Genomic DNA, 15,916 nt, shown 5'->3' on the forward strand with positions numbered 1-15,916 from the left:
CGGGGTTTCGCCATGTTGGCCAGGCTGGTCTTGAACTCCTGATCTCAGGTGATCCGCCTGCCTCGGCCTCCCAAAGTGCTGGGATTACAGGCCTGAACCACTGTGCGCGGCCACCATTGCTTCTTGAAGTAGATTTCCCAGCACTCCTTTTGCCTTTCTGGTTTCCTAACCATTATATCCTCTGGTCTTTGAAAAGTTGTAATTTAGACATGGATTTCCCATATTAGGAAAAACTTTCTATTTGGGTTACCTACAATAGCTTCTCTTTTGTTGTATGAACCTGGACCAGTGCTGTAACCCAGAGTCCTCATAGGTAATGACTCTTCTATGAAATTAGGAGAGGCATTGCCATGTCTGCTGCTGGGGCTGAGGAGGATAAAAGAAACTAAGGGTGTAGAGACACTTCCCTTACCCCTTCTATGAAAACTGCTCAGTGACCTTCAGAGTGTGGCTGAGTCTGAGAAACACTCTCAGCAGATGGAGGAAACAGGAGAAGCAGCTGGGGCAGCCCACCCTCACATATCTGCTTCCTTGGGGAGCTTATTGGGTTTGTAACACTGTGAGAGGGTCACTTTTATACTGTTGACCAATAATAAGAAGTTGCAGCAACTTCAGACTGGAGGATGCTAATGGTGAGAATCAAATCTGTCCTGGATCCAATGCCACATAACTGCAATGGGACCCAGGTTTGCAAATTGGATGCATCGTAGATCAGGAGCTCAGAAGCTTTCCCTGGCTTCTCTTTGTATCAGGCTAAAACATGGCTAATGCCCTGCCTGACTTTCCTGGCATGTGATGGTGACTCTCACCTAGACAGGAAGACAGCGAGGATGGAGACTGGGTCATCTGCATGTCATATCTGGCACCTGAGATGGGAAACAAAACTATTAACACTATTAACCATGTTATGAGAGGACTTTCCTGAATAGCCAGGTAGTACTGACCACACTGGCTCAGTAAATTCCTAGTGTTCTCCTTCCTTGCCTGAGAGCCAGAGCAGCAGGAGCCCCAGGAGCTGAGCAGGGACCCTCATGTCCATGCTGTGTCTTGACTGGGACTGACTCTTGCAAGTGGTATGACCAGCCTGTGTACAAGTCTTCAGGAAGTTGGCTGTGTTTTTTTGAAAATGAAAATTTCAACAGATGCAAGAATGACTTTACCTGCATAATATTGCACAGGCCTAGTGTCCCCCAGGGGTCCTAAGATTGATCAGGCCTGCATACACTTGTTAGCAGAGAACAAGTTTCTCTCTGGGGGCCACAGAACAGAATCTGTCTACTGTCCTGCAAGGAGATTGCTTTTCTGCTCTGCAGAAGTAGGTCATGACCTACTTTTCTTGCTAGCTTCCCGTCTAAGACCTGGCTTGTTGGAGAAGCACATCTCCAGAATCTGCAATAAATTTTAGAAGTGTCCCGCGTTTGGTACTGATGAATATTATTGAGGCCAGAGAGACTTCTTCTTTGCTCTGATCCTCTAGAGCCCTTGATGTTGTAAATCATCAGCACTATCAGCCAGAGATGCAATGATGAGGTATAAGAAAGATGGATGGATACATAGATGGATGGATAGAAGGACAGATTTATTTATTAAAAATAAGAAAAAGGAAAATGTTAACACAAAATATGTGAAAGTAGTGTAATGCTTTGCAAGGATTGGGTAATCCTTGTACACTGGGTAAACGACATGGCAAATCTCTTATCTCAGACATGTGATCATCTTCCTGTATTTCTACATTTTCTTTCCTACTTCTTTCATCTAGGCCAACATCAGAAATCTTCTCCCTCCACTTCTGAAAAGTGTCAGCTACTCTCTACCTCTGTGTGCCATCATGCATTCCTATGCTAGATGTTTCCTGAGCTCCTTGGATTAATATGTGTGCCTTACGTCATTCTTAAGCTAATATCTTCCGGAAACTGAGATGTTATCTAGACCCAGTGCTCACATCTACTCTTGAATCTACTCTGTTCCATAAACTGTATATCTCTATATTACCAATCTCTTCCAGTTTTTAAGAGAAAGCAGTTCTTAATGACTGGGTTTAGGGCATTTGACCAAAGTAGGTTCAGAAAGAAAACCATGCACCAAAATGAAGGGGAAACCAAAATATTGCACAGAGTGTGAAACCCACATGGCATGGAAAGGGCAGTTGATGTGCAGTAGAGAGGGAAGACCACCAGAGGTGTTGAAGCTATAGTGGAGGGAGGAGGGTATCCCCACATAGGCGCAGGATGTGGGGCGACATCCTCCCACTAGCACATATGTCACAGCTGAAGCAGGATGAGCAGGGCCCTTCAAAAGGGGTAAAGCCAGTGGTACTAGCATAACGGCCCATGTAGATTGAGAAGGTCACCCATGCAGGAGTCAAAGTTAACAGTGAGCTGGCAAAGCATATCAGGGCTAATGCAGGTTGTGAGGCAGAAGAGGGAAGTTGTCTACAAGGAGCGTGTAGGTGGCAATGACAGCAGGAGACTAGTGTCACAAAGAGATGTTGATCCCATAAGTCAGTGTAGTAAGGATAATTAGAGCCAAGGTACCCAGGGAGAAATGTTAGAAATATTTTAAAAGCGCGTACTAGAATAAACTCTATGACTCTGGATTATAGCTATATCAGTGCCAATTCATGGTTTATGTAGATATAGGTAAAAAGATAGATGAATAGATGATGATGATAGATAGACAAATGATAGATAATAGATAGCTCATTTTCTCTAGAAGCGATGACACATCAGTCCCACTGAACACATTTAGTGTGTAGATCTTATTTTTCTGAATGCCGATTTCTACTAAAAGGAATCAGTAATCTTTGGAGAAATGGCTGATGTCAGGTCTAAAATAGGGGAGATGGAAGATGAGCTTGTACCATCTAGTGCCAGAAACTAAAAAAGTGCTCAGAGAATGATGGGATAAAAACAGCAGGTATTCAGAGGCAGTGTGAATGAGGCTCCCATTGGACAAATCAGAGGAGGGTTGACTATGAAAATAAATGATGATGGTAGCAGAGTATAACCCATTGAAGAAAATATGGATCCATGTCTATATTTCGATTAGGAGAGGGATATTCATGAAGTATCAAGAACATCTCCACAAATTCTTATCTCTTTCAAACAGAACAACAGTGAAGGTGCAGGGAGAAGCCTGGCAGACACCCCCTTCAGCAGGAGTCAGATTGAACCTCGTCAGTCATGTGGCAGATGGAAATCACACACATCCCAATAGGATTCAGTGAGAGCACAGTATCGCTTCTGGATATTCCCGCAACAGTTACACTAACAGAGTTCAATCCTGAAGAAAATTCAAACAAATTCATAAAGTCCAAACAAGGACACTGGAACTGTTCTAGATGGAAGAAAACTACGGAGGTACAGGCCAGCAAAGGCAACCCGTGAATCATTTTGTTACAAAAGACATTATTGGAACAATTAACAAAAGTTGAAATACACTTGAGGATTAGATGGAGTGATGCACCAGTGATGATTCCCTGGTTCCACAGATGTATTGGGTTATGTAGGAAAATGTCTTGTCTGAAGGAAATACATAGCAAAGTCTTAAAGGGTGGAACTATGAGGTCATCAAGTTACTCTCAATGGTTTAGGGGGAAATGTGTTACTTTGTACTCTACTTACAAACTTTCTGTAAATGTGAAATTGTTTCAATATTTTAAAAATAAAAATGGCAGCTCTTAAGAGCATACCCAAGCTATTCTAAGGTATTTTGTGATGGCACTGAGCCACACCTGTTACAACCATAAGACATGGAAATTTACTGTAGACGCACAAAGATAACACTGTGCTTTCTCAAAGGTGTGTAGTTCACAGACAAATTATTATCTGAAGACACAGGTCTCTTTAGTATCCATCAACTAAATGGGCATCCTATTCTTGGTTTGGGGACCTACATAGTCTACCCCTCACGACAAATGTAACTTGTTTGTTTTGTTTTGTTTGAGACTGGGTCCTGCTCTGTCCCCTACACTGGAGTGCAGTGGCAAGATCACAGCTTACTCCAACCTCAACCCCTTGGGCTTAAACAATCCTCTTGTCTCAGCCTCCCCAGTAGCTAGAACCACAGGCGTGTGCCACGGCATCTGGCTAATTTTTTCATTTCTTGTGGAGATGGGGTCTCACTATGTTGCCTAGGTTAGTCTCAAATTCCTGGGCTCAAGTAATCCTCCAGTCTCAGCCTTTCAAATGCTGGCATTATAGGTGTGAGCCACTGTGCCTAGACCCATGTAACTTTATTTCTCTCAGCTCATCAGCATGAAAGTTCTGACTGAGGATGCCAAACCTGATTATCAAAAAAACAAAAATCAAATCAAATACAGTTTCTTTCATCAACCAAATAGGATAGCTGTGAAACTGAAGCCTGAATTAGGATAAATGTACAACCTTAAATACCCCAGAACCACTCAGGATCAATTCTCTTCAAAGTAGGATGAAGACAAGATCACATCACCTGGGGAATTGCTCCGAGTTTCACGGAAGACACAGAGGAAGGGAGGATGAGGCTGGAGACAAAGCTAGCTCTGCTGCGAACTCATCAAGGCCAGGGAGCCCTCAACAGCCTGCTGGATCATAAAGGAGCCCTGTCAACACTGACAGAGCATCTTGGTTGGAGGTCTCCAATCTTGTATTTCAATGGAGCTATTGAGTGTCTCAGTAATAATGCATCAATCAAAGCTACATGCACACTCAACATGAGGGACCTCTTGCTCTGGGCCCCAGAAGTGAAGGGCCCTCACCAGGCTCTCCTCCCCTCCAGTCTTTCACAGAGAGAGACTGAGACTGTGCTAATATAGAGCCAATTTTCTTCTACATCACACCCTGATACTTGGGGTCCTGAAACTACCAATTCAAATGTTCTAACCCTAACTTCCAGGGACTTGGCCCCTTCTCTGGGCTCGTTCCTCTGAGAGTAGCTACGCAGTAGGCGTTCCCCGCTCAGACACAAAGTGAGGCCAGGTTTCTGCTGCTGGGAGGCGGGATGGCATGTGAATGTGTGTGAAGTGTCTGTATATGTGTTCAGGAGAACTTGTGTGGTGTGGAAAAAGCAAGAGATGGGGTAATGGCAGTAAAGTCCCAATTGCAACCCTAAAGCACGACCTGCTATCCTCACACTACCAGGTGCTGGTGAAGAACCTTGAGGAGCGAAAAATATTTAAATTCAGACGTAGGCTTCCAGATATTCAACCTGTAGCCAAAAGAGATTAGAATGGACTAGGTTTACACTCCTCTCTGGATTAACTAAAACACAGGACACAATACATGAGGCAAATGTTTTCAAGAAATTGGACATTAGAAATTAAGGATATTGAGCCCAGAAGATTTTAAACCAAAGGAGATGAAATTTGGAACGATCCATCTGAGACCCTGAGGAGAGTTGCCAGAGCATTGTGTAGTGAAAGGAAATCCATGAGGTGCCTGGGAGTGTCCCTGAAGAGAGGAAAAAGAATTGGAGGTCCAGAAAGACAGAGAAACAGAGGAGGGAGTTCAGAGAGAGCCCAGGCTATCCCCAGATGCCTCCCTCAGTATTCCACAGAGCACTGATGAGTACATGCACGTGGAGACCCTACCTAAGGCTGCAGAAAGACTGGCTGAAGGATTACAGGAAGATTCCTCAGTCTCCTCTTTTCATGTCATGAGACACTGCAGATGACTGAGAACCCGGTGGCTCCCCTGAGCTTATTTGTCATGCACTTTTGATGACATGAAGGTTATTCATGTTGGCCTTCTCTAGTAGATTCACCTGGAAAGCATTAAATTTAGCAGGAAAAAAGGGGGCAACCATGCCCTCAATGTGGAGTGGTCATTAGTATTGGTTACAAATGTGAACTGCACTAAGCATAAAGGGATTCATTATGGGATATTAAATAGCTCAAAAATTGTTGGAAAGCCTTAACAACAGGCTCCAGGCAAAACCTCTGGAACAATCTCACAAACTGTACTGCCGATTCAGGCTGCGGAGGAGTCCTTACTGCCTGAGACCCCATATTCAGACTGCCTCCTGCAGAGAAGACAGCTGTTCCTCTCACTACGGCCCACAGAAGGACAGCATCCCTGCCAGCAGCTACCAGAGATCTGACTCCTATCCTGCAGCTCTCCCTGTGTTGATAATATCCCTAAATTCAGTCCCGTTCACATTCATCGTTTTTCATGACTACATATCTTTTTCTATCTCCATCCACCCTTGTGGCTTGACATCACCAATACACACTTTCCCACACTTGAATTCCTTTTTCACACATTAAAAGCAATGTATTAACACCTAACATATTGCAAACGTTGTCTTTACAAGTAACATCAGGATCACTTCTACCTAAAGAATGGGGACACCCAAGACTGAACCAGGAAGAAGTTGAATCCCTGAATAGACCAATAACAAGTTCTGAAATCGAGGCAGTAATAAAAAGCCTATCAACTAAAAAAAGCCCAGGACCAGATGGATTTACAGTTCAATTCTACCAGAGGTACAAAGAGGAGCTGGTACCACTCCTTCTGAAACAATTCCAAACACTTGAAAAGGAGAGACTCCTGTCTAACTTATTTTAAGAGGCCAGAATCATCTTGATACCAAAACCTGGCAGAGATTAAAAAAAAAAAAAAAAGGAGAAAACCTTCAGGCCAATATCCCTAATGAACATTGATGCAAAAATCCTCAATAAAATACTGGCAAACCATATCCAGCCACACATCAAAAAGTTTATCCACCACGATGAAGTTGGCTTCATCCCCGGATGCAAGGCTGGTTCAATATACACATAATTCATCACATAAAGGGAACTAGAGACAAAACCCACATGATTATCTCAGTAGATGGAGAAAAGGTCTTCGATAAAATTCAACATCACTTCATTTCAATAAACTACGTATTGAAGAAATATACTTCAAAATAATAAGAGCCATTTATGACAAACCCACAGTCAATATCATACTGAATGGACAAAAGCTGGAAGCATTCCCCTTGAAAACCATTACAAGACAAGGATACCCCTCTGTCACCACTCTTATTCAACATAGTATTGGAAGTTCTGACCAGGGCAATCAGGGAAGAGAAAGAAATAAAGGGTATTCGAATAGGAAGAGAGAAATTCAAATTATCTTTGTTTGCAGATGACATGATTCTGTATCTAGAAAATGCCATTGACTCAGCCCAAAAGCTTCTTAAGCTGATAAGTAACTTCAGCAAAGCCTCTGAATACAAAATCAATGTGCACAATTGACAAGCATCTACACACCAACAACAGACAAATAGCCAAATTAAGAATGAACTCCTATTCACAATTGCAACAAAGAGAATAAAATACCTAGGATAACAGCTAACGAGGAAAGTGGAAGACCTCTTCAAGGAGAATTACAAACCACTGTTCAAGAAAATCAGAGAGGACACAAACAGATAGAAAAACATTCCATGCTGGTGGATAGGAAGAATCAATATCGCAAAAATGGCCACACTCCCCAAAGCAATTTATAGATTCAATCCTATTCCCAATAAACTACCATGACATTCATCACAGAATTAGAAGAAACAATTTGGCCGGGCGTGGTGGCTCACGTCTGTAGTCCCAGCACTTTGGGAGGCCAAGGCGGGCGGATCACGAGATCAGGAGATCGAGACCATCCTGGCTAACACGGTGAAAGCCCATCTCTACTAAAAATACAAAAAATGAGCCAGGAGTGGTGGCAGGCACCTATATTTCCAGCTACCCGGGAGGCTGAGACAGGAGAATGGCGTGAACCCAGGAGGCGGAGCTTGCAGTGGGCCGAGATGGCACCACTGCACTCCAGCCTGGGTGACAAGGCGAGACTCCGTCAAAAAAAAAAAAAAAAAATTAAAATTCATATAGAACCAACAAAGGTTGTGTAGCCAGGACAAGCCTAAGCAAAAAGAACAAAACTGGAGGCATCATACTACTCAACTTCAAACTATGCTACAAGGATACACTAAGCAAAACAACATGCTACCAGTACAAAAACAGACACATAGACCAACGGAACAGAATAGAGAATTCAGAAATAAAACCACACATCTACAGCCATCTGATCTTCAACAAACCTGATAAAAAGAACAAAAACAAAAACAAAAACAAAAACACAAGCAATGAGGGAAGTACTCCCTATTTAATAAATGGTGCAGGGAGAATTGGCTAGCCATATGCAGAAAATTGAAACTGGACCCCTTCCTTATGCCTTATACAAAAATGAAGGCAAGATGGATTAAAGACTTAATATAAAACCCCAAACTATTAAAACCCAAACTACTTAAAGTATAATTAAAAAAAAAAAAAAACACCAAACTACAAAAATCTAGGCAATACTATTTAGGACATAGACACAGGAAGAGATTTTATGACAAAAATGCCTACAGCATTTGCAACAAAGCAAAAATTGGCAAATGAGATCTAATTAAACTAAAGAGCCTCTGAACAGCAAAAGAAACTATCATCATAGTGAACAGACAACCTACAGAATGGGAGAAAATTTTTGCAATTTATTCATCTGACAAAGTTATAATATCCAGAATTTACAAGAAATTTAAACAAATTTACAAAAATAAAAATAAAAAAAATTAAAAGGTGGACAAAGGACATGAACAGGCGCTTCTCAAAAGAAGACATACATGCGGCCAAGAAACATGAAAAAAGCTCAACATCAATGATCATCAGTGAAATGCAAACCAAAATCACAATGAGACACCATATCACTCCAGTCAGAATGGTGATTATTAAAAAATCAAGAAACAACAGATGCTGTCGAGGTTGCAGGGAAATAGAAACACTTCTAAACTGTTGGTGGGAATGTAAATTAGTTCAACCATTCTGGAAGACAGTGTGGCGATTACTCAAAGATTTAGAACTGGAAATACCATTTGACTCAGCAGTCACATTACTGGGTATATACCCAAAGGAATATAAATCATTCTACTATAAAGATACATGCATGTGTATGTTCATTGCAGCACGATTCACAATAGCAAAGACATGGAATCAACCCAAATGCCCATCAATGATAGAATGGATAAATAAAATGTTTTATATATACACCATGGAATACTATGCAGCCATAAAAAGGAATGAGATCATGTCCTTTGCAGGGACGTGGTTGAAACTAGAAACCACTATCCTCAGAAAACTAACACAGGAACAGGAAACCAGACACCAGATGTTCTCACTTAGAGGTGGAGCTGAACAGTGAGCACACATGGACACAAGGAGGGGAATGACACACACTGGGGCCTTTCAGGGGAGGGTGGGTAGGAGAAGAGCACCAGGAAAAATAGCTAATGGATGCTGGGCTTAATACCTAGGTGATGGGTTGATAGGTGCAGCAAATCACCATAGCACCTGTTTACCAATGTAACAAACCTGCACATCCTGCACATGTATCCTGGAACATAAAATAAAATGAATGGCAAAATCCAAAAACCTTCAGTCCAGAATCCAGCATTCCTCATGGGTCACAAATTTAACCTAAGGTCTAAATTACAAAGGAGACCAGACAACAACACTTTATAAAACTTTAAAGAAAATGGTGACTGTAAAAAGAAAATTTTTCAACAAAATGTATGCATGCCTCACATGATGTTTTGATATCTGTTTTATTAAAATTCTTCCATCCTCTGAGTACTGTCTGTAACCTAGGGTCTAGAAGGGCCAAAATACATTTCCTTGGCACTGTGATAATTTTGTATATGTGCTTGTAGCTTGTGTGTATGTGAGTATATACACACATATGTGGTCATACAACTTTGTTAAAACATAACTGTTTATATAAGTTTATGCAGAAAGCAATGTCTAAATATATATGCAAATGCATATATCATATATAAAAAGATAAATGCACATATGCACACATATATGTATAAACATATGTTTTATTCCTGGAATGTCAACCTAATGATTTTCAACAATCTGTAGTGTATATGTAAAGTTCCATTTTGATTATTCTGTTGAGTATTGCTACATATGTGTATCCTCAATACTAACTATTCCTGTTAGATGTTTCCATAAATGAGCTAAGTTGTATTTTATTTCTTCTGATTTAAGTATTATTTCTTCTATGTTTTTGTTTCTTTATGATTTTCTAAGTATTCATATTTATGCAGTCAATTTTCATTAAATGCATCTATATATGTGGATGTTTAATAATGTATTAGCTTTTCAACAATAATAGTTTGTAACAAACCACTCAAAATGCAGAGGCTTACAATACTAGTATTTATTTTCATGTTTACGGATGTTCATATTAACAATAATTTAGCTGATCTAGACAGGGCTCAGCTGCGTGGTTGTGCTGTAGGTTGCTGAGCTTATCTCTAATATATGGATTTTTTTTTAATTGGGGTCAAGACTGAAGGAGCAGTGATCAGCCAGGGCAGTTAACAACATCCTGAGGTCAAGCTACACAAGCAAATTTAAGTCCCATCAGCTGCAACACACGTATACAATATGTGGGTTTCTTCTTTTGCTTTAGCAATTACTCAAGGTTCTAAAACCTTTTCTCCAATTAAGTTTCAAGTTATGTGATCATGTCACTGACAAATAATTAAGTATTTCAACCTTCAGCATTAAAAAAGCAAATTTATTCTTAAATTAATTAAAGTTAAATCAAATTGAGTAAAAAAAATTGGATGTGTTTTCAACATGTGACTTTAATCAGATTTTCTTAAATTGACATGTTGGATAAAAACAACAAAAATTTCTTAGCTGAAGTAAACATTCCCTAAAACATAGCTTCTTAAACCTTCAATGGATCATCTGTTATCTTATGAAAATACAGATTCCCATTCAATTGATCTAAGGTGGTTTTGCTGTTTTGAATTGGTAACATGCTCTTAGTGTTGCTACTGGGTTCTGGACAAATTTTGAGTAGCAAGGTTTTTATATTAAAAAAATAATAAGAATGTTACATCTGTGTGTATACACACACACACACATATATATATACAAACATATAAGCAAATGTACACATATATATGTATGAACACATGTTATTTATGGAATGTGAACTTAATGATTTTCAATAAATCTATATTATACTATAAAATCCTGTTCTGATTACCTATATATATGCATACACACACAGACACACACACACATATTTTATATATATAATACATATTATATATTATGATATTATATATTGTATATATTATATATGTATATAATATACTATTATATATTATATATGTATATAATTTTATTAATATATATATTATATTATATTATATATTATATTATATTATATTATATATATAATATTAATATTATATATTATTATATATTATATTATATTAATATTATATATATATAATATATATAATATATATAATAGTATTATATATAATATATATAATAGTATTATATATTATATATATATAATACTATTATATATATTATATATAATAGTATTATATATATTATATATATAATACTATTATATATAATATATATATTATATAATATACTATTATATATAATATATAATAGTATATTATATAATATATATATTATATATAATTATATTAATATATAATAGTATCATATATAATAATAGTATATATAATATATAATATATATATTATATATATTATAATAGTATATATAACATATAATATAGTATATATATTATATATTATATATAAAATATTTATGTGTGGGTGTTTGTGTATATATAGGTGTGTGTCTGTGTTTGTATGCATATATATAGGTAATCAGATTATATATATATGTGTATGTATATATACACACACACATACACATACAGGTATTCAACAAAGGTTTTTTTTGGTCCAATGATTGCTATATTATTTAGTGCAATTTCTATTTTTTTTTTTAATATGCAGCTTTTTATTCCTCACCCCCCCCACCCTCTCCACTTCTGTCTCCAATGTTCATTAGATCACTCTGTATGCCTCTGTGTACTTGTAGCTTAGCTCTCACTTATAAGTGTGGACATAAGGTATTTGGTTTTCCATTCCTGAGTTACTTCACTTTGAATAACGGCCTCCACCTCCATGCAAGTTGCCGGGAAAGATATTATTAAATTTATTTTTATGGCTAAGTCATATACATATACATATATATATATATATGAGTCAACCATATACATATATATATATATATATATATATGAGTCAACCATACACATATATATATATAATGTTTATATATATAATGTATATATATAATGTTTATATATAATGTATATATATAATGTTTATATATATAATGTATATATATAATGTTTATATATATAATGTATATATATAATGTTTATATATATAATGTGTATATATAATGTTTATATATATAATGTGTATATATAATGTTTATATATATAAGTGTATATATATAATGTTTATATATATAATGTGTATATATATAATGTTTATATATATATGTAATGGTTTTTCTTCCTCAACTTTTACTTTAAGGTCCAGGGCACATGTGCAGGTTTGTTACATAGGTAGACGTGTGCTGTGGTGGTTCACTGCACAGATCATCCCATCACTTCAGTATTAAGCCCAGCATCCATTAGCTATTCTTCCTAATACGCTCCCTCTCTTCCTCCTTCTCCCTCCACCACAGACCTCAGTGTGTCGTTTCCTCCCGTGTCCATGTACTCTCATTGTTAGGCTCCCACTTATATGTGAGAACATGCAGTGTTTGGTTTTCTGTTCCTGCCTTAGTTTACTGAGGATAATGGCTTCCAGCTCCATCCATGTCCCTGAAAAGGGCATGATCTCATTCCTTTTTATGGCTGCATAGTATTCCGTGGTGCATATGTACCATATTTTCTTTATCTGTTCTATCATTGATGGGCATTTGAGTTGATTCCATGTCTTTGCTATTGTAAATAGTGCTGCAATGAACATACTCATGCATGTATCTTTATAGTAGAATGATTTATATTCCTTTGGGTATATATCCAGTAATGGGACTGCTGAATCAAATGGTATTTCCAGTTCTAAATCTTTGAAGAATCACCACACTGTCTTCCAGAATGGTTGAAGTAATTTACATTCTCATTAACAGTGTAGAAGTTTTCCTATTTCTCCACAACCTCCGCAGCATCTGTCGTTTTTTGATTTTTTTTTTAATCTGAGAAGGAATATCATTCTGTCACCCAGGCTTGAGTGCAGTGGCATGATCTCAGCTCACTGCAACCTCTGTCTTCCAGGTTCAAGCGATTCTTGTGCCTCAGCCCCTCAAGGAACAGGGATTTCAGGCATCCACCACCACCTCCAGCTAATTTTTGCATTTTTAGTAGAGATGAGATTTCGCCATATTGGCCAGGCTAGTCTTGAACTCCTGACCTCAAGTGATCCACTTACCTCGGCTTCCCAAAGGGCTAGGATTACAGGTGTGAGTCACGTTGCCTAACTTATTGTTTTTTGACTTTTTAATAATCGCCATTCTCACTGGTGTGAGATAGTATCTCATTGTGTTTCTGATTTGCATTTCTTCAATGATTAGTAATGTTGATCTTTTTTTCATATGATTATTGGCCTCATGTATGTCCTCTTTTAAGTGTCTGTTCATGTCCTTTGCCAACCTTTTAATGGGGTTGTTTTTTTTTCTTGTAAATTTGTTTAAGTTCCTTATAGACTCCGGATATTAGACCTTTGTCAGATGAATAAATTGCAAAATTTTTCTCCCATTCTTAATGTTGTCTGTTCACTCTGATGATAGTTTCTTCAGCTGTGCAGAGGCTTTTTAGTTTAATTAGATCACATTTGTCAATTTTTGCTTTTGTTGCAATGCTTTGGGCATTCTTGTCATGAAATCTCTGCCCGTGTCTATGTCCTAAATGGTATTGCCTAGATTTTCTTCTAGGGTTTTTATAGTTTGGGGTTTTACACTTAAGTCTTCAATCCATCTTGAGTTCATTTTTGTGTAAGGTATAAGGAAGGGGTCCAGTTTCAATTTTTGGCATATGGCTAGCCAGTTCTCCCAGCATTATCTATTAAATAGGGAGTACTTTCCCCATTGCTTGTTTTTGTCAGGGTTGTTGAAGATCAGATGGTTGTAGGTCTCCAGCATTATTTCTGAGTTCCCTATTCTGTTCCATTTGTCTGTGTATCTTTTTGTACCAGCACTATGCTATTTTGATTAATGTAGCCATGTAGTTCTATTTATCATATGACTAAATATCATTTTCATGCTATGATTTCAAACTTACTCATAGTATATGGAAGTACATCCAAGTGTATTCTGAGGCCATCACTTCACTGAAAAAATCCTGAGAGTCGAGATACATGACCACACTACGATGTCAGCTGTCACTTCCCCATCATCACTATCATTCTGGAAGCACATTTGCCAGAAACCCTATGCCTTCTCTGGTTTTTGGTGGAGTTGCCCAGTGTGGGGCCTGCCCTGAGATTGAGAAGTAAGAAGAGGAGGATTCAATACTATCCATCAACACCTGCAGCAAGACATATGGACCGAGGTGAGGACTGCAGAAGCACCTGATGAAGTCCTCTAGGCAGCTGAGAGCATCTGCACCCCCACCCATGGGCTTCTCAGAAAGGTCTGAGGACCACATGATTGGCAGTTGTACCTTCTCTATCAGATGCATTCTGGATTCCGGAAGAGAATTCCTCTTCTCTAGTATTTGCGTCTTTGACTACTATACTTGCAAACCTTTAAAAGGCTGTAGTTTAGATTCTCACATCTTATATTTAAAAAAAATCCTACTTGGAATACCTAGAGTGGCTCACTATTGCTACATGAATTCCAACTGATGCTACAACTCAGACCCCTCAGGTGTAACCATTTCTTCTCAATGAAATCAGGAGAGGCATTGCCCTGTCTATGATACTGGGGATTAGGACAAGGAAAGACAGCTACGATGAAGTGGGCCTTCATGGCCCTTTTACAAAAACTCTCCAGTGAACTTCAAAGTGTGACTGCAATTTGAGAAACATTCTCAGCAGGCGAAGGCACCAGAAGGGGCATCTGGGACAGCTGAGCCTCACGCATCTGCTCCCCTGGGTGATTTATGTTATGACTTGTTACACTGTGGGAGGGAGATTATCATACTGTTGACAGTAATATGTTGCAATATCTTCAGGCTGCAGGCTGCTGATGGTGAAAGTAAAATCTGTCCCAGATCCACTTCCACTGAACCTTGATGGGACCCCTGTTTCCAAATTGGATGCATCGTAGATCAGGAGCTTAGGGGCTTTCCCTGGTTTCTGCTGATACCAATTTAAATAGTTGCTAATGTCCTGACTCGCCTGGCAAGTGATGGTGACTCTGTCTCCTACAGATGCAGACAGGGAGGATGGAGACTGGGTCATCTGGATGTCACATCTGGCACCTGCGATTAGAAACATAAACACAAATATTCATACTATTAGTCATATTATAGGAAGGCTTCCATCAAGAGCCAGGCTGTACTGAGCACACTGGCTGAGAAAATTCCTAGTGTTATCCTTCCTTACCTGAGAGCCAGAGCAGCAGGAGCCCCAGGAGCTGAGCAGGGACCCTCATGTCCATGCTGTGTCCTGGTTGGGACTGACTCCTGCACAGGGTGCGACCAGCCTATTAATAAGTCTTCAGGGCAGGGGGCTGTGCTCTGCGAACATGCAAATCAGCAGGGGATAGGGCAGGCTGGGCACAGCTGCAGGGCTGGCTCTTCTCAGTAACTCAGCATAGGAGCAATGTCCCCAGTGTCCCAGGTCGGACCAGGGCATCACAGATTTGTCCGTAAATAAGTGTTTCTTCCTGGAGACTGTTTGGTTACAAAGAACTTTTTTGAGTTAATTGTCAAAATTCGAAATATTCCTGAGGACTAGATGGAGTAATGTATTTTATTCGTGTATGGAGATGGAGATTATTTTTTAAAAAATACAATATGCACTTAATTGGAAGAAAGCACTTTGTGCTGTACTTACAACACTTCTGTTAGCATGA

At 38.7% G+C, this 15,916-nt stretch overlaps 1 pseudogene, 1 gene segment (V, D, J or C) and 1 further gene, besides 4 other annotated features; 1 reads left to right on the forward strand and 2 right to left on the reverse strand.

The window, feature by feature from the left end:
• IGK (immunoglobulin kappa locus) overlaps positions 1 to 15,916 on the forward strand; it is a 1,378,008-nt gene that overhangs the window by 395,616 nt on the left and 966,476 nt on the right.
• IGKV1-32 (immunoglobulin kappa variable 1-32 (pseudogene)) lies at positions 565 to 1,039 on the reverse strand (annotated as a pseudogene). The gene is given in 2 exon segments: positions 565 to 866; positions 985 to 1,039. Coding segments are annotated over 2 exon segments (357 nt in total).
• Positions 856 to 866: a sequence feature (IGKV1-32 leader sequence).
• Positions 985 to 1,039: a sequence feature (IGKV1-32 leader sequence).
• IGKV1-33 (immunoglobulin kappa variable 1-33) lies at positions 15,025 to 15,499 on the reverse strand. The segment is given in 2 exon segments: positions 15,025 to 15,320; positions 15,445 to 15,499. Coding segments are annotated over 2 exon segments (351 nt in total), but the record flags the coding sequence as incomplete, so codon positions are not given.
• Positions 15,310 to 15,320: a sequence feature (IGKV1-33 leader sequence).
• Positions 15,445 to 15,499: a sequence feature (IGKV1-33 leader sequence).

The sequence above is a fragment of the Homo sapiens genome, chromosome 2, assembly GCF_000001405.40.
Source record: "Homo sapiens chromosome 2, GRCh38.p14 Primary Assembly".
NCBI classification, from domain to species: Eukaryota; Metazoa; Chordata; class Mammalia; order Primates; family Hominidae; genus Homo; species Homo sapiens.